Source organism: Homo sapiens, chromosome 18 (assembly GCF_000001405.40).
Source record: "Homo sapiens chromosome 18, GRCh38.p14 Primary Assembly".
NCBI classification, from domain to species: Eukaryota; Metazoa; Chordata; class Mammalia; order Primates; family Hominidae; genus Homo; species Homo sapiens.
In genome coordinates, this window is record NC_000018.10 from 78,758,511 (window position 1) to 78,782,034 (window position 23,524).

Below are 23,524 nucleotides of genomic sequence, written 5' to 3' on the forward strand. Positions count from 1 at the left end.
TTGAATTATCTTGGTAGGTATATTTTCAGCGGAATCTATTCTTTTCTTATTAAAAAATACCTTCCCATGGTCCAACCTCACAGTGCTGTGGGCCCATCATAGCAGCCTAGTACCGACCCAGTGGGCAGGAAGGGCCAGTGTCTCTCCCGTGCTGGAACGCAGCAGAGCCAGCTCTTCATGCAATGTGAAGTGTGGCCTCCTGGGCTGCCATGTACACCGTGACCAGGAGGAAAAGGGCATAGGTATGTGATGTGGCCAACAGGTAACAAGCAGCGCTGCTCTAACTTAGAGAGACAGAGAAGTAAATCCACAGAAGGCTAGACGTGTGGTGCCCTCGAGACAAAAAAGGGAAGCTGCAGACCCACCTGGCTCAGGTAGGCACGTGAGATGAAGTTGTAGACACACCTGGTAGGCAGATGAGATGCTGCAAACCCACCTGGCTCAGGTAGACAGGTGAGATGAAGCTGCAGACACACCTGGTAGGTAGGTGAGATAAAGCTGTAGACACACCTGGCTCAGGTAGGCATATGAGATGAAGCTGTAGACATACCTGGTAGGCAGGTGAGATGCTGCAGACATGCCTTGCTCAGGTGGGCAGGTGAGATGAAACTGCCATCTCACCTGGCTCAGGTATGCAGGAAAAAGGCCACTTACCAGGCTGTGGGCCACCCTTAACCACAGGTTATAGTTATGCCATCCACAACAGTATATTCAGACAAAGACCACTCATTGTAGGAAGGGTGGCATCTGATCCTAAGCTGAACTCTTGCCTGGGACCCAAGAGGACAGGCAAGCGGATGGAGGTGGACCCACGGGAATCCACCGCATCTGCTGAGCTGCTTAAGAGGAAGTTCAGAAAGTGAGGAAGGGAAGAACAGGCTGAAAGGGCTCTTCCTGTGCAGGAACTGCTGCTGAGATGCCCATACCCAAGTCTTCATCTCCAAAGTCTGTGGATACCTCTTCTCATACTCACCCCCTTCTCTCTCATCTCTAACCACTGGGCCTCATTTTGCACCTGCACCACTTACCTCTCCCACAGCTTTATTAAGGTATAGTTGACAAATAAAAAGCATATCTATTTATTGCATGCCACGTGATGTTTTGATATATGTATACATTGTGAAAGGATTAAATCAAGCTAATTAACATATCCATCACCTCATATACTTATTATTTTTTATGGTGAGAACATGTAAGATCTACTCTCTTAGCAAAGCTCAGGTATAGAGTACATTGTTATCTCCCCAACCTCTTCCCCCAAAACGCCAGTAAATTCCGGTAACTACCATTCTGTTCTCTGTTTCTACAAGTTCACCTCTTTCAGACATGAACATATAAGTGAGATTACACAGTATTTGTCTTTTGAGTCTGGCTTATTTCACTTAGCATCCTGTTCTCCAGGTTCATCTGTGTTATCACAAATGACAGGATTTCCTTCTTTTTTGAGGCTGAAGAGAATAAAGACTCCACCAGAAAACAACCGTTGGAACTAATAAATTAATTCAGTAAAGTTGTAAGAGACAGAATTAACAGCAAAAATCAGTAGAGTTTAAGAAAACAATCTCATTTATAAGCATAAAGAAACAGGAATAAATTTAACAAAAGTGGTAAAAGATCTGCATAGTGAAAACAAGATATTGATGAAAAAAATTGAAGACACCCTGTGTTGATGGATTGGAAGAATTAATATTGTTAAAATTACCATAGTAGCCAAAGCAATATGCAGATTCAATGCAATCCCTACCAAAATGCCTAATGACATTTTTACAGAAATAGAAAAAAAATCTAAAATTCATATGGGACCCCCCAAAAAAATACCCAAATAGCCAAAGCAATCTCGAGCAAGAAAAACAAAGTTGGAGGCATCGTACTTCCTGATTTCAAAACATACCACAACATCATAGTGATCAAAACAGCATGCAACTGGGATAAAAACAGACACATAGACCTATGGAACAGAACGGAAAGCCCAAAACTAAATCTACACATTTAAGGTCAGTTGATCTTCAACAAAGTTGCCAAGAACACACAATAAGGAGAGTCTCTTCAATAAATGGTGTCAGGATAACTGGATATCCACATACCTATGGAACGCTATATAAAAAATTGACTCAAAACGGATTAAAGATTTAAACATAAGATGTGAAACTATAAAACTACCAGAAGAAAACAGGGGGAAAGCTCTATGACATTGGTCTGGGCAATAATTCTTTGAATATGACCCCAAAAGCAGAAGCAACAGAAGCAAACGTAGACAAAATGGGACCAGATCAAACTGAAAAGCTTCTGCACAGCACAGGAACAATCAATGGAGTGAAGAGGCAGCCCACAGAATGAGAGAAATATTTGCAAACCAGGCATCTGATAAGGGATTAATATCCAAAATATAGAAGGAACTCAAATAACTCAACAGCAAGAAAACAAATAACCTGATTTAAAAATGGGCAAAGAACCTGAACAGACATTTCTCAAAAGAAGACATGCAAATGGCCAAGAAGAATATGAAACAAAGTTCAACATCACTAATCATGAGGGAAGTGCAAACCAAAACACAATGAGATATCATCTTACACCTGCTAGAATGGCTACTATCAAAAAGCAAAAGATAAGTGAAGGTGAGGATGCAGAGGAAAGGGGCCCAGTCAGTGCACACTGTTATTAGAAATGTATGCTAATGCAGCCGTTATGGAAAACAGTATGGAGCTTCCTCAAAAAACAAAAACTAGAACTACTCTATGATCCAATAATTCCACCACTAGGTATGTATCCAAAAGAAATGAAATCAATATGTCAAAGAGATATCTGCATGCCCATGTTTATGGCAACACTATTCACGATAGCCCAGATATGGAATCAACTTAGGAGTCCATCAATGAATGAATGGATAAAGAAAATGTGGTGTAATATATATACACAATGGAATACTAAACAGCCTTTAAAAAAGAAGATCCTGTCATCTGCACTTGCCTTCCAATTGGATGACTACACACCTGTCCTGGCCCTGTTTCCCTCAGGATCTGTCCAAGATGCAAGTTGATTAAGTCACCCATCTGCCAGCAGCCCTTTGGCAGCTCCTGCACCTTTCAGGATAAATTTCACCTCCTATGTTAGCCTGCATGGACCCCAGCTCAGCCCCTGCCATCTCTTAGCTCATCTGCAAAAATACTTGGCTTCAGCCATGCCACATTGTTCTTCACCTCTATCGCTTCACAACACTATTCCTTCTACCAGAAATTCCTTTCCCAAATTACTTATTTATTGAACTCCTTCAAAACATGGCTCAGATGGTGCCTCCTCTGGAAAGCTTATCCAGATTTTGAGTCTCATTCAGATACCACTGGACTATGTGTCTCTAGAGTGAGCTGTAGATGCACAGGTGTTCACATTGCCATTTAGTTCCTACAACTCTAGATATGAAACTAGTATTCTGGATATAAAATGCACCCTGGATTCAAAAGGATTCTTCTCACAAACTAATAAGAAAGTAGCACAAATAGTCAGGAGACATGGATATGAGTCCCAGTGCTGAGAGCTGTACCTGCTCTAGTGCTCACTTAACCTTCGTGAGCCTCAGCTTTTTCATGGGTAAAATGGAGGTTATAATATCTACCACTCAGGTTTGCGAGGTTCAAATGAGAAAACCCATTGAAGAGTGCTTTGTGGAGTATAGTAAGGCATCTATAAATAGGAGTTGCTATTTCAGCTCCATTAACAACATTACCCAGCAAATCTTTATTGGGCACCAGTGGTGTGTGAGCCATGCATGAGCCAGTGCGCCTTGAACACTTCCCCATTCCTGAGTGCAAGAGTGTGAAACTGAATATCCAAGACTTACCTCCATCCCACTTTATCTAGCCTGCAGGGTTTCCAGTCTCCCACACATTGTAAAACTTCCAGAGCCAGAAGCAGGATCCTAGACACACAAGTTCTTGTAGCTCATTCTTCTAGAAAAGGCGACTCAAGTTCAGCTGCCCAGGAGAGTTCAGGATAGGGTGGAGAGGTGCATTAGTCTGTTCTCACACTGCTGTAAAGGACTGCCCAAGACAGGGTAATTTACATAGGAAAAAGGTCTAATTGACTTGAAGTTCCACGTGGCTGGGGAAGCTTCAGGAAACTTACAATCATGGCGGAAGGGAAAGCGAACACGTTCTTCTTCACATGATGGCAGGAAGGAGAAGTGCTGAGCAAAAGGGGGGAAAGCCCCTTATAAAACCATCAGATATTATGAGAACTCACTCACTATCACCCGAACAGGAAGGGAGAAGCCATCCCCATGATTCAATTACCTCCCACTGAGTCCCTCCCACAACACATAGGGATTAAGGGAACTACAAGATGAGATTTGGGTGGGGACACAGCCAAACCATCTCAAGAGGTGACATCTGCCCTCCATATCCAGGAGGTCAAGGGCATCTCCGGGTGACAATGGGAAGGATGGCTTCCAGTGAGGTTGGGTCGTGCCCAGAGTATGGGAACCGCACATGCACCGGGTGGTGTGCTTTCCACCCGAGAACTTGGAAGCCAGTTTCCTTGCTGTGCTCCTTCCATAGGAAGCCGAGTCTACCTATGTGAGTCACACAGAAACTGGAACAAAGCAGCAAGGTGGGAAATGGTAAAAATATTGCTTGGGTAGAATCCGATCTTTGTCCCAAAGATTATTATATACGTGGTATTTGTATTGTTCTGAAAAATGGCATGAAAGGAGAAGGAGAAAATGTGTTCCTCTAAACCTGGCCTAGGGGTTGAAGCTATTCACACCAAAGTCCTAAAACAGGAATCCTCTGTCTTGATCAAGCTAGTTAACTTGTAGATTACCTACAAGTACAAAACCAGGAAGCCAAAGCTAAAATGGAATACAATGGGAAACCCCTGAGAAAATCATGATCATACTACCTACATTTTCTGTGTCCAGAGAAACATGCTGTCCCTGCGGTGTGGGTGCATCAGTGGTTTGTATCCCATTGGGCTGTGTGGATTTGCTGTTGGAGTTCTTGGCTCGGGCGTGGCCACAGTTAAACACCCCAGTGTATGTCAAAGGCACAGACCCCTGCTGCACACAGCTCTATTTTTGCTGTGGTGGTGGCTGCTTTTACAACCAAGCATGTCTCAACCTCATTCTACTTACTCTCTCCATCTTTCCCCCCACCATTAACCGAATGAAAAACATATGTCGATTTTTAGTTCTGCAAAGAAAATGGAGGACAATGTGGAATATGACCATTTCAATGTTATTTAAACACCTTTTCTTTACTTCCTCTTCCCTGGAATATGTGTGAAGAGAAGGCTGGTGCAACAGGACGGGAAGGCAGAGGTGGCCAAAGACTGCTCTCGTGCATGGAGGCTTTTGAAAGCAGTGAGCGTAATTGTCCTGCACATGTTTTGGGGAAGCAAGGCTACTCATTAACTGCTAGTGGATCAATTAGTTATAACAGCTATAATAGCGCACAGACAATGGCGTGAAGCTATGTGCTGCTGTGCCTCTCCTCACTTTGGGTGGGCACTTTTTTTAGCTGTTGCTTTGAAGATTTAAGTTAATAATTTATCCCTAATGAATTTAATCTTTCTGTTTCTCTGGTACATAGGGCACTTAATGGATGAGAGAAACAATTGTGCCATTAACACGATTTTGTTTTAAAGAAAATTTCAACATTGAGAGCAATATTTTTATATCAATGTCTCCAAAGGTACATTAATGAATTTAGCTACTTCAGCAAAGACATTGAAAAGAGGTCAGGGTAAGACGAAGTTATAAGGAGGAGATTTGTCTTTGGTTGGTCATGTGACATCTCATGAAAATATAGTTCCACCTTCTATAACATATAGAAGCTTGTGCAACATACACAGCTATGAGTAAAAGGAATTCACAACCGTTGGGGCTAGGAAATGACATCCTAAAGCAAAGGCCTCAGAAGCAAAGTGTCTCTAAGCATCTCCCGCCCCTGTGTCTCTCAGCCTCATCTCTCCCAAAGCCTCATCTCTCCCACAGAACCTAAAAAGGTCGCTCTGCTTCCCCGGCCTTTCTGTATAAGGCCTGGCCATAAAGAGATCTCTGCCCTACATTGTCTGATGGGGGTCCTAAACCCCACCAATTCTACAAGGTCTTGCCTCATCCTAGGAAGAAGAAGCAGTGCCCAGAGGCCAAGACGGATCTGAAGAGACAGCCCTGGAGGCTCCCCTCACTCTAGCACCACGGAGCACAGACGGCCTTGGGGGCTCCCCTTGGTCCAGCACCACGGAGCACAGACGGCCTTGGGGGCTCCCCTCGGTCCAGCACCATGGAGCACACCCATCTGCCAATCCCATTGCAGGAACACGGCCGTCCCTGCTTCACTGAACCTACGCATAAAATCAGACCACTTCCGCCCCTGTATCTTTGGGTCTTCCCTCTGAAGGCTTCTGTGTCACACAAAACTATGATCAAACCAATGTGTTATGCTTTTCTCTTTGTTAACCTGTCTTTGTTATTTTGCTGTTGGCCGTGACCCTTAGGATGGGGAGGAAAGAAATTACCCCCTTTCCACCCCACACAGTGAAGCAAAATTGTTTAGAAACCCAACTTCTTATTTCCATTTGATAGGGGAAGATGACACACAGAAGTAAATCTATTTGCTGAAACAAATTCCAAGTAATAAAAACCCTCCTGGATGCTTCTGCAGCTGTCCACACCCCAGAGAGATGCTCTGGTACGCAGCGCCGGGAGCCACTCTCCGTCTCCCTGCTCCATGGTGGAACGAAGCCCCACGTGTTCCTCTCAGGCTCTTTGGTGTCTCCCGTGTGGCTTTAGAGCCCTCCCTGCTGCCCCTTCACACTCTGTCTTTGACCAGTGGCCCGGTCTGGGCAGCGCCTTCTGACTGGATATGCAGCCCGGGCACTTGACCCTTGACCAGTGGCCACCACTCAGGAGGCAGGTGCCACCACTCAGGAGGCAGACGAGGGAGCCTGGCTGTGATGGAGGAGGGAGGCCATAGCGCCCAAATGCAGAAAAAGTTGCACTTGGCAGCTTTAAAATATTTGCATTACTGAAATGTTTCAGTTGAGAAACAGTTTTTAAAGCCGTGACGTTTGGGAAAGTGCTTTGGTGTCTTTGAAGCTGGATGAACAGGAAGCCTGGTCTGACTGAGGCACTCCCAGACTTTGAACTATGAAAAGCCATTGCTGCTCTGAGTTCTGTTTGACACACGTGGACCATGTGAGCAGGACGAACGAAACACAGCAACAGGAGTGGGGTCAGGAAATGGTGCTGATTTCCCCAAGGACAGAGCACGGGTCAGGATGAGGCCAGCAGGCTCTTCAATTCTGGCTCTGGGGAATGGGTGTCCACCAAAGACAGACAAGGTGGGTCTCCAGAAGTTTCTGTCGGGAGGGTCGTGCGAGCCAAGGAGGATTAACCCCACGGCTAGGAAGGATCGCTTAGGACTCCCGAGTCGCCAGGCAAAACAGGTGCCAAAGACCCCTCCTCAGGTCAGGGATTGAGTGAGAAAAGCAGTGTGGGCTGGAAAGCCATCGCGGTTGTGGGGGTGTCTGCACACGGCATTAGCCCCTGACAAGCCAGGAGGTCAAAAATGACCCTGAAGCCAGCAACGGGAAGGGGTCCCGAGGCGAGGAGCGTGGGCACCATGGCAGAGGCCATCTCAGGTATATCGCCAGCTCCCAGCTAGATGTTGTGTCTAGGCTCGAAAGCCCCTAAATGGTGCTGAATACCTGGGTGGGACCGGCCTGGCCATGTGGCAGACATTGGCAGATAAGCGCTCATCTGCAAATAAGAGCCTCGCATGCCTGCCTCGTTTTCTCTCTGTGTAGATGGCAGCTCTGAGTGCAAGATACACGGAGTTCTCCTCCTTTCTCATCTTAGAGAAGTCATCTGTTCCGGTGGAAGAACAGACAGAGTATTCCCCTAAAATCACGATTCAAGGCAAATAGTGTCACCATCTTTTATCTGAGGCCAAGGAGTTTTTAGTATTTGTTAGACTGGACTTTGTGGTTTTCTGCATTTTCTTTCAAACTTTCCAGATAATGCCATTGTTTGTGTGCAGACAGTTTAAACAGCATGGCCATGGGCTTCAGAGAGACACAAGAGTGATGCCCAGGTGCAGTGCATGGGGCAAGAGGGCCAGCCTGGCATGCACCGCCACTCACCTGGGCGGCCTCAGTGTTTTCTCCAGGGAAAGGTGGGGGTCCTAGGCCTGTTTTGCCAAAGTCGTTTGATCATGGACAGAAAAGGGGAGAAGCGAACTGGGTCACCTGGAAATCAGAAGGCCCGGGATATCTGACCCAGGCTGGAGCTGTCCCTAAAGACTCCAGCGCTCCCATCTCCCGGGGAAGAGGGAAGGGCTGTGCCAGGCCCCTGAATCCACCTTTGCTCCTAACCGGGGCTGGAGCGAGGATCCAGGGTTTCCTCTCCTCTCCTCCCATCTTGCTTCCTCCCTAGTTGTCCGTGCCCTTCAGCGTCCTCCCCACTCTGATTTCCTCTATCCCCACCTTCCCAGGGTGTGGCCTCCGCATCCTCAAGGCAGCTCTGAGGGGCCGACAGGAGTGCTTTCCTCTGGGCCCACAGGGATCGCGTCTTCGTGGGGCCGTGAAGGAAGGAGGAGGGCAGCGTCTATAAAGTAACCTTCACTATGGGAAAAATCCTGACGTCGGATTAGGGAGCTGGGGCCCAGCCCAGCTGGCAGCCGGTGAGACACAGACATCCCAGAGCACAGCGAATCCTGCCTTCATGTTCCGCATTGTGCCCCACGACGTGACACCTGCACCTCTCCGTCTTCAGCGGACAAAGGGGCACTAGAAAGCAAGCCATGGAGAGAATTTGGTAGAAGCCAGGAACCTGTGAGCCTGACACCTAGGCGCCTGTGACCTGCGCCCTGTGACCTCTAACCTATGGCCCTTGATCCCGCTGCCTCCAGGCATTCTCTGTAGATGATGTTGAGCGAGTTCCTGAAGCCCTGGAGCCCCCATATCTCCACCTGAAGAGCAGGGCCCGGCTCACCCTCAGGGTCAGCAGCCCCCATATCTCCACCTGGAGAGCAGGGCCCAGCTCACCCTGAGAGTCAGAGGGCCCCATATCTCCACCTGGAGAGCAGGGTCTGGCTCACCCTGAGGGTCAGCGGCCCCCATATCTCCACCTGGAGAGCAGAGCCCAGCTCACCCTGAGGGTCAGCGGTGACCCGTCGGCATGCACCCGTGGGATGGGGGATGGACAGCTGCAATCACCTAGGTGCAGGGACAGGGAGGGTCCCCAAGAGTGCACACTCCCTTCACACCCCGTGCCTGGCTCCCGCCTGCCTGTGAGGCTGGCAATCCACGCGTTTCTGCTCTAACACTGACGCTGAAAAAGCCAGGCAGATGTCTCCACCCCTGTGCTTCACCTGAGCCCTAAATGCAGGCCCAGGTAGCGGCTGATGTCCAGGGCCTGGGGATCTGCCTGTGGCCACCTCACCCACGCTAGGAGGTGCCTCCGGGGATGTGACAGCCTGCAGGAGCTCAGGATTCTCTCCCCAGCTTGGCTCTGAGGGGCTCCGGGCAAGCAGCAGTGCCCTGAGGGTGGCAGCGTCATGGCCAGGGCCGGCTTTTGAGTCCAACCCTCTCCCTGTGGACATGGGTCCGAGGAGGGCTGCACTGGGTCCCCACCATGCTGAGGCTCCCCGGACCTCTCCTTACAGCTTCCCTCAACACTGCCTGGAATTCACAGCTGTCCTGAGGTGGTTCACCTTTGAAGATTATTAACGAGGGTTCTTTGTTCTGAACTCGAGGAGAATGAACCCCAACATGACTGACGTGTGCCAGCTTCCATACAGAGTGAGGCCGCGTCCTGGGCCTCTCTGCAGGTGAGGCTGTGCCCATCATGGGCTGCTCTGCCAAGATTCGCCAGGAGCCAGAGGGTCTGCCGAAGCCGTTACCTGGAGGTGAAGAGGATACGTGGGCATGGCTGTGCCAGGGGTTGGGACGGCTGCACGCGCTTCCCTCCAAGGACATGGCTTCATGGCTGTTTACAGACATTCCTGAATCCAGACCATTGATTCCACATTTGATGTGAAAAGAAATTAAAGGTCTGGTCTCATTAGATAAACCGGTTCTGGGGAAGGATCACAGGGAGAAGCTCTGCCCTTTTGTACGACACTGAATGGCCACGGCAGGCAGCTCCTGGCACACAATTGATTTCGAGCCGAGTTTTGTCTGAAAGATGCTTCTAGATTATGGCAAGAAAGCATTCTATAATCCTCCTGCCAATGCAGTTATGTTTAACAGACGTGCAACTCTTATCACTGATTGATAACACTTAACTCAAAACATATTTCAGCTTTAGGAATGTCAATATCCGGCCTCTGAGTGAAGGTGACCCCTGCCCCGCGTGTTTGCTAAGTGTGTGCCATGGTTTGCTGGTAAATTTCTCAGGTGGTTGTGTGGGAAGGCTGTTATGGATTTGCTATCTTAGCCTGAAGTGTTTGCTGCTGATTATGTGATTAAATCAATAATAATTTCTGCCTGGATCCTGCGCTTCTCCACTCATCTTCTGGCCCAGGCTGTGGAGCAGAACAATGCGCCCAGCACCGGAGCCGAGGGGCTTTGCTGTGGGGAAATGTCAGAGGTGTGGCAGGGGCCTCCGGATCTCCTCTGAAAGCAAAATATTGTAACAGCTCTGCAGGTAAACAAACAGGCGGCCTGTGCCGCGGCCGGAACCCGACAGGTGGGGGCAGGGCCGCCTAATGGATGGGGCTGTTGATTCCGGCTTCACCTGAAGTCGCGTGACCCAGAGCCTTCATCCCACATTAAACAGATATTTGTTTACTCTGACGAGGGGCGTTTACAGTTAAACAGTCAGGGGGCTCGTTAGCCACATCTGGCCTTTAAGTCACACAGGCAGTTTCATCTCACCAGGTGTGAAGGCCACCTGGCACGGAGGGACCAGGGCTGTGCCCGCAGGGCAGGGCCCCAGGGACTGTCCATCCAGTCCCCCCACCCACATCCAGGTCCCCCTGGAAGACACACATCCCCTGCTTGTGACTTTCTTGTCTCTGGGTGTCCTCAGCAGCACAGGCAAGTAGCTTCGTTTACAGCAAAGGGCATCAGAAATGCCGCCTGCACCACCCCCCTGTCAATCCGTGGCAGCCGGAAGGAGCTGGGCTCCGGGGGATTCCTCCTCGATCTGCCCTGGTGCCCTGGTGGCTGGAGAGTCTTTACCTCACCCACAACATTTATACCACCCGGCTCTCAGCAGGGACATCGGGACAATCCAGTCTCCCAGGGAAATCACAGGGACACCAACCGATATTTGAAAAACCAGAACATCTGGTCAGTCACTTTCTCCCATCTGAGTAAACAGAGCTTTGTGAATAAGCCATGTTCGAACACTGAGGGAAGCAAAGGTATTGTCAACGGAGATGGGCTGGCTCTGGGCTCGGGCCTCAGCCCTGGGAATGTCGTGCCCGGCGGTGGGCCACTTTGCTGCTCAGTGCTTTTAAACCACAAATTGCTCCCAGCGATGTCAAATATCACTTTTTAAAAACATAAGACAGCCCCAGGGACGGTGATCATCATTGTGTTTGAAAAAGGCAAGTCTCCTTTGCTTGTTGCGTTGAGAGGCAATTCAGGATTTATCACTTGTATGCAATTGTAATTGTAATTGCTATTTACCTATTGGGAATTTGGCTTTTAGAAAAAGGAATATTTTGTTGGAAGAGGGGGCCAGGGGAGAAAACGCTCTCCATTGGAGAATGAGCGGAGACCGCTCCTCAGGCCTCCGAGGCGGGAATCAGGTGGCGGCCTTCCCTAACAGGCAGCTTGCGTGCCCCGGTGAGCAGCTGTAATTACGGCTGTACAAAGTAGCAGAGTGCCTTTCCAGGCTGCCTCAAAAGGCTGGGGTGTTCCACTCCAAACTGTCGGTGCATTTCCATGAAAATAAAAGGCAGCCCCAGCCATGGACATACAGGAGAGCCTGCGGTCAGGGGAGCTGGTCTGCATCACGGGTCCCCGGAACTGCAGCTCCCAGACGCTACAGGGCCACCAGCTCCTCCCTGGCCCGAGAAGAGTCCAGAGAAATTTTTACTTAGTTAAATGTTTTTTTTTAACTTTGTAAAATTTTTAAAAGCGGGAAACTGGTAGACGAGCATCAGGTTTTCTATTCCATGCTGAACCAAATTTGGAAACACCAAATAGCCCTCTGGGGGCAGCCTTCACCTTCTCTCCTCAGGCGGTTGCACCTGGCCATTGTCCTCAACCTGGTGGCTGCCTTCTCTAACAAACACCCCCCCGGGACACACTGCATCCGTCTCTGTAACACCTCGGGCAGCTCCAAGTAAGTAACCTGTGTGAGTCAGCCTCTTATTCCAGCAGATAGCCTGAACACAGACCCGGCATACGCCCGGCTTTTGGAAGGCCCCGAAAACAAATCGGGGACAGAAACAGAGTCCCTCCCCTTTGACGACCAACTGGGGGTTCAAATCCACGCTCCCAGGGCCAGCCTGCCCAGCTCAGTGGGGTCAGGAGGCTTCGTCCTATGAAGGCAGCCTGGGAGGGAGGCACATTACTGCTCCTTGGGGTGAGAGAACAGAGATCACGCTTGCTGTCGTTCTATCATTCCATCACCTTTCCAAGTACCCCTGAGGCTCGGAATTCCCTGGTGGTCCCGGAGGAGGCAGCGGCGTGCTGTGCGTCTCGGCTGATTCTCTGGTCTCCATCCCTCCGAGGGTGTCGCTGCACCATAGGACAGAGGCGGACATCCAGGTAACTAAGGAAATGGGCAGAATTTTTTCAATAAAATTGTCTGGACTTAATCCAGAGAGAGTGGGCTGGACCTCGGCCTCAGACTGTGACCCACGACCTGCGCTAACAGCTGTAGCCCAAGAGTGGTTTTCCAGTAAAGATGATAAGAAAATGCCTCTGTGACATTCGTGCCACCCTCATCAATATTCTGGGGCTCCAGGGTCCCCCCCAATACTGCTGACACCTGCAGGCTCCCGGCCTCCCAGGGAAAGGTAGGGGCCGAGGCTTTCGAGGCAGCTGCCGGCAGCACTCACAGGTGCTCAGAGCCTCCTGACCCTCTTGTTTAGAGTGACCTGAACTCAGACAGGGCTGGGCAGGCCGAATCACTTCACCGTGCGTTGAAGGAAGCAGCTCAGCTATGGGTGTCTTATGTCCTCTACTAGGACAGCAGGAAAGAGACGAGACAGGGGTGCAGGCCCCATGCACAGGCTGGGGGGCTCAGTGCCGTGAGCGGTCCCCACACCTGCCCAGGCAGAGTGCACGGCAAGGTGGGAAGCATATTCTACTTCACCAATTCCCATAACCGGGTGTCTTTCTGCAGTCTGAGCAATGACCTTAGCCCCTGACAGGGTTGCGGCTCTCAGCCCCGAGGAAGAGGGCCTGGCTGTGTCCTGAGGCTGCCGGCCCTTCGTTGCCAGTGCTGTGTCACTGCTGTTGTTCCTAAAGAGTGTGCGTCACCTGAAGCAGATCCAGGTATAGCTTCCTACACAGGGAGCACATGCGCACAGACCTGCCTTTATGCCAGCAGGCTTCTAGGCAGTGTGACACCTTGTTTTAAAACGTAAGGGAGCGTGCTCCCAGCCAGTGCCCTGAAGTGATGATGTGTTAGTCCCTGGAGGTTCACACTCCACTGACCTGAGGGTGGACAGCTCGGGTCCAAAGAGAATTCTTCATGGGAGCTGCAGGGAATAGGAAGCTGCAGGGAATAGGAAGGAATAGCTGCAGGGAATAGGAAGCTGCAGGGAATAGGGAATACGGAGCTGCAGGGAATAGGAAGGGCGTCATTTCACGAAATGCAGCTGCATCATTTTGTGTCATGGGGAGGCAGAAAAGCTCTGAAGATGAGTTGAGCATAGGGAAAAGCATGATTTATCTATCGCTATTTCCTGAAAGAAGCGTCTGCAGAATTCAGGGGCCCGGGGACCCACTGGCAGCTGAAATCATTAGAATGTTCGATAAGCAGCTGCTCTCTGGTGCTCACTGCACCTCATACCCGGGGGGGCCCTCCTGTCAGGTAGCTTCAGGGCAAATTCTGGAGGCTACTGATGTGAGGCCACATTGTCCAGTGTCCACTAACCCCATGGCACATGACAGTTAATACAGGGTGAGGTGGCAGAACTCTGTGCTGGTCCTCACTCTGCAAAGAGAGGTGGGCTGGAGGCTATTTTACAACTGTAGGGGGCCAGGATGGGTGTGAGTGCAGCACTGCCTGCCATGGGGCAGCTGCGGGAGGCAGCTCTGCAGGCCGGGCGGGTGGTGTGCCCTGAGGACAGGGTGGCCCACGTGCCCGGTGTCAGGGGTCCACGCTTTGCAGCAAAAGGAGCTCTGCAGGTGGGCGGGTGGAGTGCCCTGAGGGCAGGCTGGCCCCCTCGCCTGATGTCAGGGGTCCACGCGTTGCAACAAAAGGAATCTGAGGCGCCTTGGGAGGATGCTCACCCCATCCGAATGCGAGGCTTGGCGATGACCTCCTGGGCAGCCGCCCAGAGCCAGAGGAGCCTGGGAGGCAGGGCGGTTGATGGCTATGAAGCTCACTGCCTAAACTTCAGGGTCACTGCTGTGTCCCCATCCCCCACCTCTGGGCCGTCTCAAGAAGAGCTGCAGTGGCAGGCAGGCATCCCTGTAGGTCCATGGGCTGTCTGCAGCATCCACAGTGGGAGCGGACGGTCACGTGGTCTGCAAATGCACCGAAACACACACCCTCCACCAGGAGCCACTGTTGGGGTTACTCCTTGGCCTACTGTTAAAAATGACCCATTGCACTGGAAATCACATGTGCATTTGCCTCAGGGTTGCTGCATGGGGAGGGTGCAGCACACCGAGGCCAGCAGGACCCTCCCCTGCACACTCAGCTCCCACAGCCCTGCTGCAGGGGCTCAAACCCTCCTAAAGGGGCCCTTCTTATCTACCCCATAAAGTTCCCAGCTCAGAACTCCGGGACCACCTTCCCTGGCAGTGAGGAGCCCCATGCACAGACCCCTCCCTTTTGATGGCCTGGCCCATGCCCCTCCTGACGGTGCCCTGGGACACTGTGCAGGATTTACCTGAGGAGGGAAGAAAACGAGAGAACTTGCCACACAGGAGCCTGGGCTTTCCCCACAGCCTCGTGGGCCCCTGTCAGCAACCCCAGCTCCTGCCTTGCTCCTGAGGCCCAGCGCTGGCCCCTGTACCCAGCTCCAAATTTACCTCCTTTCTGGGGAAGCCCCACTCCCTGTCGCTGCAGAGGGTCAGGCTTTTCCCAGGGAACCCCTGGGCAGGCAGGAGGCCCTCCTAACTCCATGGTCATGTTCCTCAGATCTTAGTGAATGGGCGGGAAGCAGCAGCTAGGGGAGTGAGGGGCAGGGATGGAGAGAGGGACAGGCTTTCACAGGTGGCTCAGGGTGTGCCAGGCCAGCAGGACCACAGAGTTCACCACCCAGTGCCCAGCCCCAGCCCCCACGGCCCTCACCTGCCTGGGCTAGAGAACAGCCTCTGTATCCGTCTAATGTTAAACCAGCACCTTCACACACACAGGCACACACCCCGCCGAGGGCAACACCAAACCTCAGGGGTGCTGAGTCTGAAGGGGAAGGAGGAACAGGAGCCCTCCAAAGCCGCCTGGCTGTGGGGGACACAGGGAGTCTCTTCCTTGTACCCCACCTGGTCACACGACACCCACCCGCCACCCCCCACGTCCTGCCGAGTGCAGACCACCACATCTGAAATTAAGAGTGTAAGTGAATTCCAAGATAAGGATCATCTCCCTTCAGGGTGTGCTTAGGGAGTCAGGGAGTGGCAGCTCTTTCATCCCACGTTTTATGAAACATTGCAGTGAGTCCTTTCACAAACACAAAGTAACCTCCAGTTGATGTGTAGATAAGATTGGACATGGCCTCTGTGCAAGCAGCTATCTAGAACAAAACTGAAAATATTCTCGGCACAGGAAGTATTTACATCCAGCAAATTGTCTAAGAAGAAACAGGCATTCTGTTCCTGAACATTCAACTGATCATTTGAAGACCTTTTCCACTATAAGTGGGCCCCAAGGTTGCCTCCAACAGGGCAGGCACGGCGCCTCCAACAGGGCAGGCGCCCCAGAGCCCTCGGCCCCAGGGAGTCCTCCAGGGTTGTTTCCGCATTGTTTCTCTCCTTTCAGGCTTCTTCATCGAGGATAATTTTATAGAAAACACATCTCAGGGAGGCAGGGCCACCTCTCAGGTTTCTGGGGACCTCAGGTTAGCCTCAACCTGGGACGCCTGCAGACTGAGCCCAGCTCTTAACCCCACCGATGTTTCCAGGTTCCCTGGCACCCGCTCTCTCCCGAGGCTCAGAGTGGGCGTTGGTGTGGAACAGCCCCTAAGAGGCACCTCGGCCTTCCCGGAGCCCCGGAACGTGGAGGCTAACCCAGGACAGAGACGGTCACTGCAGGAGAAAAGACGACACCGTCAGTCCTTCCCCCGGTGCACAACCGAGGACCTCCTCCGCATTTGCCCCTGCGTCTGAGGCAGCATCTCGGGAATCTGCAGTCTCCAAGTGCGAGAGAGGCAGCCCCAGACCCATCCATGATGCACCTGAGCCTGTGCAGGAGGCTCGCAGGAGGGTGGGGACGGCGAGGACAGCTGCATGAGTACCCCTAAACCAGCAGCCGCAAGGCCCTCGGGTGACTGGGAGATGTTTGTATAGGGAGACTGGAGGTGTGATAACTCCCCAGCAAGCTGGGATTTCTAGCCTAGGCCAATTCCACTCTTCTTATATTTTTTAATGTTGAAGACGGTTACCCTGCAGCAAACCAGTCTGACCCACCTTGAAAAGTATCTGGCCGGGCACAGTGGCTCACACCTGTAATCCCAGCACTTTGGGAGGCTGATGGGGGTGGATCACCTGAGGTCAGGAGTTCGAGACCAGCCTTGCCAACATGGTGAAACTCCATCTCTACTAAAAATACAAAAATCAGCTGGGCGTGGTTGTGGGCACCTGTAATACCAGCTACTGAGGAGACTGAGGCACGAGAATCACTAGAACCCGGGAGGCAGAGGTTGCAGTGAGCAGAGATCGCGCCACTGCAGTGCAGCCTGGGTGATGGAGGGGGACAGAGAAAGAAAGAAAGAAAAAGAAGGAAAGAAAGAAAGAAGGGAAGGGAATGGAAGGGAAGAAAAGGGAAGGGAGGGGAAGGGAGGGGAGGAGAGGGGAGACGAAGGGGAAGAAAGAAAGGTATCTTATAAAATATTCCTTTTCTTCATTTCTCTGTGATAAAAACCCATACATACCCAACTATGGGGACAACTTTAAGTGGTGAGTGAAACTGACTTGGAAATTTTTACCTCCTAGGCGATAGATATATGTTTAAATAGATGTATGTGTGCATATATATATATGAGTAATTTTTACAGATAAGAATATACATATGTGGAAGTCATATCCAAATGACAAGTACCATTTTGGCACCTAAGTTCTTGCCTTTGTTGTAACAGTAAACACAATGCTAATACAAATGCGTCTTCCTGATTAGTCGTTACCAACTAAAGTTAACAAGGTCTACGTGGACTTTCACTCTTCTAAGGAATTTTAAAAATAAGCGCAGTATTAGAAATGATCAACCCTGGGCATAACGACAAAGTGCTTCTGCAGAAATGGATGACATTGACCTTGAGCAAGTAAATGTGTGGTCTCCCTCCAGGAGAAGCACTGCATCTCTCCCAGGCTGGCACACTTGCAGAGCATCAATCACAAGGGCACCAGGCCCTTCCACACCACAGTCTTGTGGTGGAAAAATGTGGAGGAGGAAGGAGACTGGGCTCCTGGGCCCTGAGCTCATCTGTCTCCAGCTGGTCACCCACACCCCCGTGATGCAGCCAGCCACACCACCTGTCCTGAGCCCACCTCTTCAGAGGAGAGGGGCAGAGAAGGGCCATGGCTGGGGAGTCCCCCAGGTCCACAGTAAGTGCACAGGAAGGTCCACAGATCAAGCCACACACAGACAGGAAAACAGTTGCTGAGCCTCTCGGACGCCATTCGGCTAGTATGGTACTCAGCAGTGCTGCGTCTTAGATTTACTCCAGCACACAGGTTTTGGTGTAATTTATTTTAAAAGTCACACAGTACACCATTTGGCAATTTTATCACTCCAGGTATAATAAAAAAATATTCCATGATTATATGTCATTTGGTTAAGTCTCCATCAAACTCTTTTCAAATTCAAAGCAGCCAGCTCCACAATAAGTAACTGCAGCCCAGAATTAGTGAGCACATTTTTTTCCTTCGCGTTTAATTGAAACTGATGTGTTTTGAAATCATAGTGGGGGTTTCTCAAGAAAAGTGGTATGTGTTATTCAATCGGCATAAAACAGGCCTCTGCCAGCAAGAGGCTCACGCCCCAGGATTAGTACCCGTTGGCAGCGGTGGGCCCGAGCACTACAGCCTCTCCCAGTGGGTAAATATTTAAATTATATATATGCCAGTGCACAGAGCAACCTGAAAGAAACCTGTTCTTTTTTCCTTCTGTCCCCCGGCTGTGAATTCTGAATAAAATCTAGGCCAGTGCAGACGCCCTTCGGTAGATCGCAGAGCTAACTGGCCTTTGGGGAGCCGCCTCCTTCTGTTCCTGAAGAGTCGTTTCTCCAGGCCTGGCAGGGGCATTTCCAATTAATAGCAGTGCAGCTTTGGATCACAGTTTTGCAAAAGGGTCAATGCTAAGAAGTAAACACTGGAGCGCTCAGCGACAATAATTCATAAGCAGCAGGAAGGAAAGTGCTCGCTCTTCTTGTTGGGCTCGTTGGAGCCAGTTCTGGTTTATAGACTCCCATGCCAGCCACCCACCATAAACTTTTCACAATGATGCTAAGATTCCTTTTTATTTTATTCTCATTTCTCCACCCCTTTTGTTGCTTCCAGAGTTTATTCATGAATATGAAGCATATCTGCATGGCAAAATCCTCTATGAAACGCCTCAAGACCCACCACGGCACTGTCATTTGAATTGAATGGACGGAAACCCCAGCCTGTTGGTGAGAGGACACTGGACTCTGCTAATCAGCACAATAGCCAGGTTGTGTTTCCAGCATGGGGAACACAGGTAAACAGATGACCTGGTGAGCAACGCCGTTTTAGCAAAGGGCTGGTGACATTTGCTGCAGAGAGGAACTGGCGGTGACAGAGTGCGGGGTGGTCCTGGAGAAATGGGGATTTTGTTCTTAGAGCAGTCAAAAATACCGAGAGAGAGAAAAGGTTGCAAAGGCTTGTGGTGTGTCTGTGCGCAGGGCATTTCTGGAGAGGCGTGATTGGTTCCATAAGCAGATCACGGCATTTGGATGAAGGATCCTTGTCAGCCTGGAATGACCAAGGACTTGGGATTTGGCTCCATGTGGCACGCGGTGCTCTTAGGAGACACTTCTGGATGAAAACTCAGGGCCTCAGTCTTTCCCCTGTCTTCCTCCACATCCACACACCAAATAGACTTCTTGGAAACCCTGTCATCACCTTTTTAAAACCTTTAAACTGGTCTACATAGGTTGCAGAGTTGGTCTTTCCATCTTCACGGGCGAGGCTGGGAGATTGGAGCTGGTGCACAGAACAGGTCAGGGGACGGCGGCTGGAGCTGCTCCCCGGCAGGTGGGGAGACCCCCGTCTGCAGTGGCCACTCAGAGAAGGCGGCACCCATCCCCGTCTGCAGTGGCCACTCAGAGAAGATGGCACCCAGGGCTCTCACCTCTGGCCTCCCAGAATTTCTTTTCCTCAACCCCCACCCTAGACACAGCACCACGAGGAGAGCCCCACTTTGCTTTGACAGAGATGCACCGAGTTCACCGAGCCCTCCATGAAGCCGGAGGACGGGCTGTAGGAGACTGTGCGTGCCCTTCGGCCCCCTCCTTGCCCAGCACCTGGGCGCAGCTGTTACCCGAGGGGAGTGTCAGGCCCCTGGACCCAGTCTTGGGGGCGTGGGCATCTGCAGTGGCTTTGCTTCCAAGGAATCAGTTACTGTGAGCAACAAAGGATGGATACTTTCTAGCTCTGGTTATCTCTGAGCAAAATTATACAATTTGGCATATTTTAAAATAGAAATAAAGTTTATGCTATAATTTTAATTTTTTTTAATTTAACTATATCAGTTCTTCCAACCAGTGTCAACCCAAAATTTAATGGTTTCGGGATAATTTTTGTCTCTGCTATGAAATATGCATTTAATCCAAATGACTCTCTCCCACTCCCTGGTTTCTGTTCTCACCTGAAATGCTGACGGAGGTGGGAAGTCCAGCAGCGGGGTACGGGAAGTGGTAACATTGTGAAGACGTAGGTTCTCCATGGGAAAGACTGTTGTCCGGAAGTTTCCACACAACAGGTCCCCACTGAGATTCCAAGGCTGACAGCACGGCGGGAGTCCCTGGGACCCCTGGGCCCGGCACAGCGCCACCGCAGCAGGCAGGCACCGGGTGGCCAGAAGTCGATCATTCTCTTAAATGGCCTGTACATATCTTTGACTCTGATCCCACTGATTTTTAAAATTACGGGCATGCACCACCACGCCCTGCTAATTTTTGTATTTTTAGTAGAGATAGGGTTTCACCATGTTGACCAGGTTGGTCTCGAACTCCTGACCTCAAATGATGCACCGGCATCAGCCTCCCAAAGTGCTGGGATTAGTTGTGAGCCATCACACCCGGCTCAGCCTGGATTTTTAATTACAAAATTAAACTGTCTTGTTGGAAGAATTTGGACTATTTTCACCATTTTAATAAAATTACTGATGATGGAATTACAGTTGACCCTTGAACGACTCGAGTCTGAACTGCACAAGTCCATTTACACGGAGATTTTCTTCCATGTCTGCCACCCCTGAGACAGTGAGACCAACCCTCTCTCCTCCCCAGCCTACTCAACTTGAAGACGACGAGGTTGGAGACCTTTAGGATCAGCCACTTCCACTTAATGAACAGTAGATGAGTTTTTTCTTCCTCATGAGTTTCTTAATAACATTTTTTTCTCTAGCTTACTTTATTGTAAGAATCCAGTATATAACACAGAGCGTACAAAACATGGGTTTTGTACAAACCCATGAGTGTACAAAACGTTGGCTCTTCATGTTCTCAGCAAGGCTTCTGGTCCAGGGCTATTTGTAGCTCATCGTGGAGGGGGTTAAACGTTACACTTGAACTTTCAGCTGCGTGGGGGTCGGTGCTCCCAACCCCTATGTTGTTCAATGGTCGATTGTACTTAATTGAACATATTCCTATTTGTATCTTCTCAAAGTTTACTAAAATCCCATTCCCAAGCATTTCAGTAGCCAGATATCCCCACCACCCTTACGGAAGCTCCACGACCCAGAGGAAATGTCTGGGGAGAAGGAATTGCACGTCCCCCCACCCCCTGCGGCAGACCCCAGAAGGCCTCTGTCCCTCTTGGGCTAATCCTCAGCCGAAGATGTACCCCTGACAAAGTGCATAGGATGTCTTCATGGGTCGGCGTTTTTATTTTTAAGAAGCAAGTCACCCATTTTAAAGCTGGAAGCAAAGTGTTTGGTGAGTGTGATGGATGCACCCCCAGATGGCTCATGGTGACCTTGGAGGAGGCTGGGGTCAGAGGGTGCAGTGGCTTCCGAGGGTGCAGTGGCTTCTGAGCCCCGGACCTGAGATGCCCCCTTCCAGGTCTCCTTCCCAACGCCACTCCTGCAATGGCCAAGGATACACCAAGAGGCGCCTGCAGGGAGGTGACATGCCTCTCGGAAAACGCTCCTGCCTATCCAGCTCCTCTCCAGCGCCTCTTATATGTCTGCAACCTCAGTGTTGGACGTCAGACCCAGAGAGCAGGGCATGACCAGCGCTGCCAATCAGCCTGAGTACTGGAGGGAAGGCCGCCAGGCAACCAGACCGCGGCAGGATCAGATGGAGGAGCTGGCCACGTGGCAAGCGTCCGAGGCCAGGCACGGTGTCGGGTGGCCCTGGCCACGCCAGACCTTCCAGTGGCCACATCTTCCTACAGGTGATCCGTGTCAGTGAAGGAGAGGCCCAGAGAGCAGAGGCTGAAACAGTATCTCCTGGGCCCTCCTCGCAGCTCCCCGGCAGCCAGCAGCTCTTGGGCCAGCTTTCACAGCCAACTTCTCAGAGTGACGGAGACCGCGACTGCCTCCAGCACGAGGCAGATCTGTCTGCCCACCCAGGCCAGCACTCCAGCAGAGGGGCCCAGACAGACGACTCGGTGCTCAGAGGTTTGTTCATGGCACCCCAGGTGCTGAGAAACGCCGAATCAATTCATTTATTAAGACAGCTCCAAAGAGCTCAGGAAGTATTTATTTATGTCTTAACAACTTAGTGGCCACATTAAAAAAAAAAAAAAAAAGCTACATAACTGTAAAGAAAAATAGTTGTGTCATCTGTGTGTGCCTTAGCCACAATCACTGGATCCTGGGCTGTGTGCCACTGTTAACACCTGGCAGAGTTCTCGAGCCTCGGGTCTCAGGGTGCCCTCACTGCCTGTTCTCCACTGGTTCTTACTCAGCACCTGATCCTTATCACAGCAACCACGGAAAACCCAGCCTCACAAAATCTGGCGTCCACGTCGGGAGTGTGGTTCCATCCACTGCGAAAGCCCCACACATCTCCCCGGCCTTTCATGCGGAGTCCAGCAGGCGCCCACCCGGCATCTCAGATTTCCCTGGAAATGGAAACTGCAGGTGGTGCCTCAGCACATTCCGAGGCGTTCCCGTGGCTGGATGTTTCTCACGCGGTGAGGTGAAGAACGAGTCACCTGTTTAGCTCCTTTCTCACCAAAATCACGGATGCCAGCCAGCGCAGCTGCACCCTGACTGCGACAGGCCCAGGTGCCCTCAGTGCCGGGCAGGGGGTCCCACTCGGACCCCGGCTTCCGTCAGAAGTGCTCCGGACCTGCAGGGAAAGGGCTGGTGCCGTCGGGGAAGCTCAGGCATGCTCAGCTCCAGTCCCCTCTTTTCATTCAGACGCGGCTTCGCCCAGTGCCAGGTGCTCGGGGGAAGCTGAAGATCCACGTTCTCCACAAACGTGGGCTGGACTCTCAGGCGGGGTTTTCTCCGACGGCAGACCTGTGCTGCCAGGCTCGGGACGAAGTGTCTCACTTTCCCGCTGTCCTCTGGGTGAGGCGGAGCCGCTCCTGAAGGATCCGATCCAGTTCAAAGCGCAGGCCGTGGAACAGGACGGCAGCTCCTCCGGCTTCGGCGCCGCTGCTCTCCGCTGGACTCCACGTGGCTGTTTTAATCCCATAACAGCATTTTAATGTCATGGTTGGGAAAAGCTGCGCTTGGAATCACACTCTCTGCAGATCTGTGAAGTGCCCACACCGGGCCAGGCACTGCGAGCGTAGGGGTGACCGTGCCGCGGGAGGCGAGGACCGGCGACTCCGTCCGTCAGCGAGTCCTGTGGGTACACGGAGGGTTCGGGAGGCCTATCCGAGGTATTGCGGATGGAGGGGGTGCCTCCGCTCATCACAGAGGTGTCCGGGGATGGAGGGGAGCCCTCTGGTCATCACAGAGGTGTCCGGGGTGGAGGGGAGGCCTCCGCTCATCACAGAGGTGTTCGGGGATGGAGGGGAGCCCTCTGCTCATCAC

At 51.2% G+C, this 23,524-nt stretch overlaps 2 annotated features.

Moving 5' to 3' along the window:
• Window positions 10,275-11,132: an enhancer, noted in NCBI's record as "H3K4me1 hESC enhancer chr18:76528785-76529642 (GRCh37/hg19 assembly coordinates)". NCBI's record gives its function as "activates a minimal SCP1, AML or CMV promoter by ChIP-STARR-seq in naive H9 embryonic stem cells {active_cell/tissue: H9 hESC(naive)}" and the evidence as "EXISTENCE:reporter gene assay evidence [ECO:0000049][PMID:30033119]".
• Window positions 21,419-22,377: an enhancer, noted in NCBI's record as "H3K4me1 hESC enhancer chr18:76539929-76540887 (GRCh37/hg19 assembly coordinates)". NCBI's record gives its function as "activates a minimal SCP1, AML or CMV promoter by ChIP-STARR-seq in naive H9 embryonic stem cells {active_cell/tissue: H9 hESC(naive)}" and the evidence as "EXISTENCE:reporter gene assay evidence [ECO:0000049][PMID:30033119]".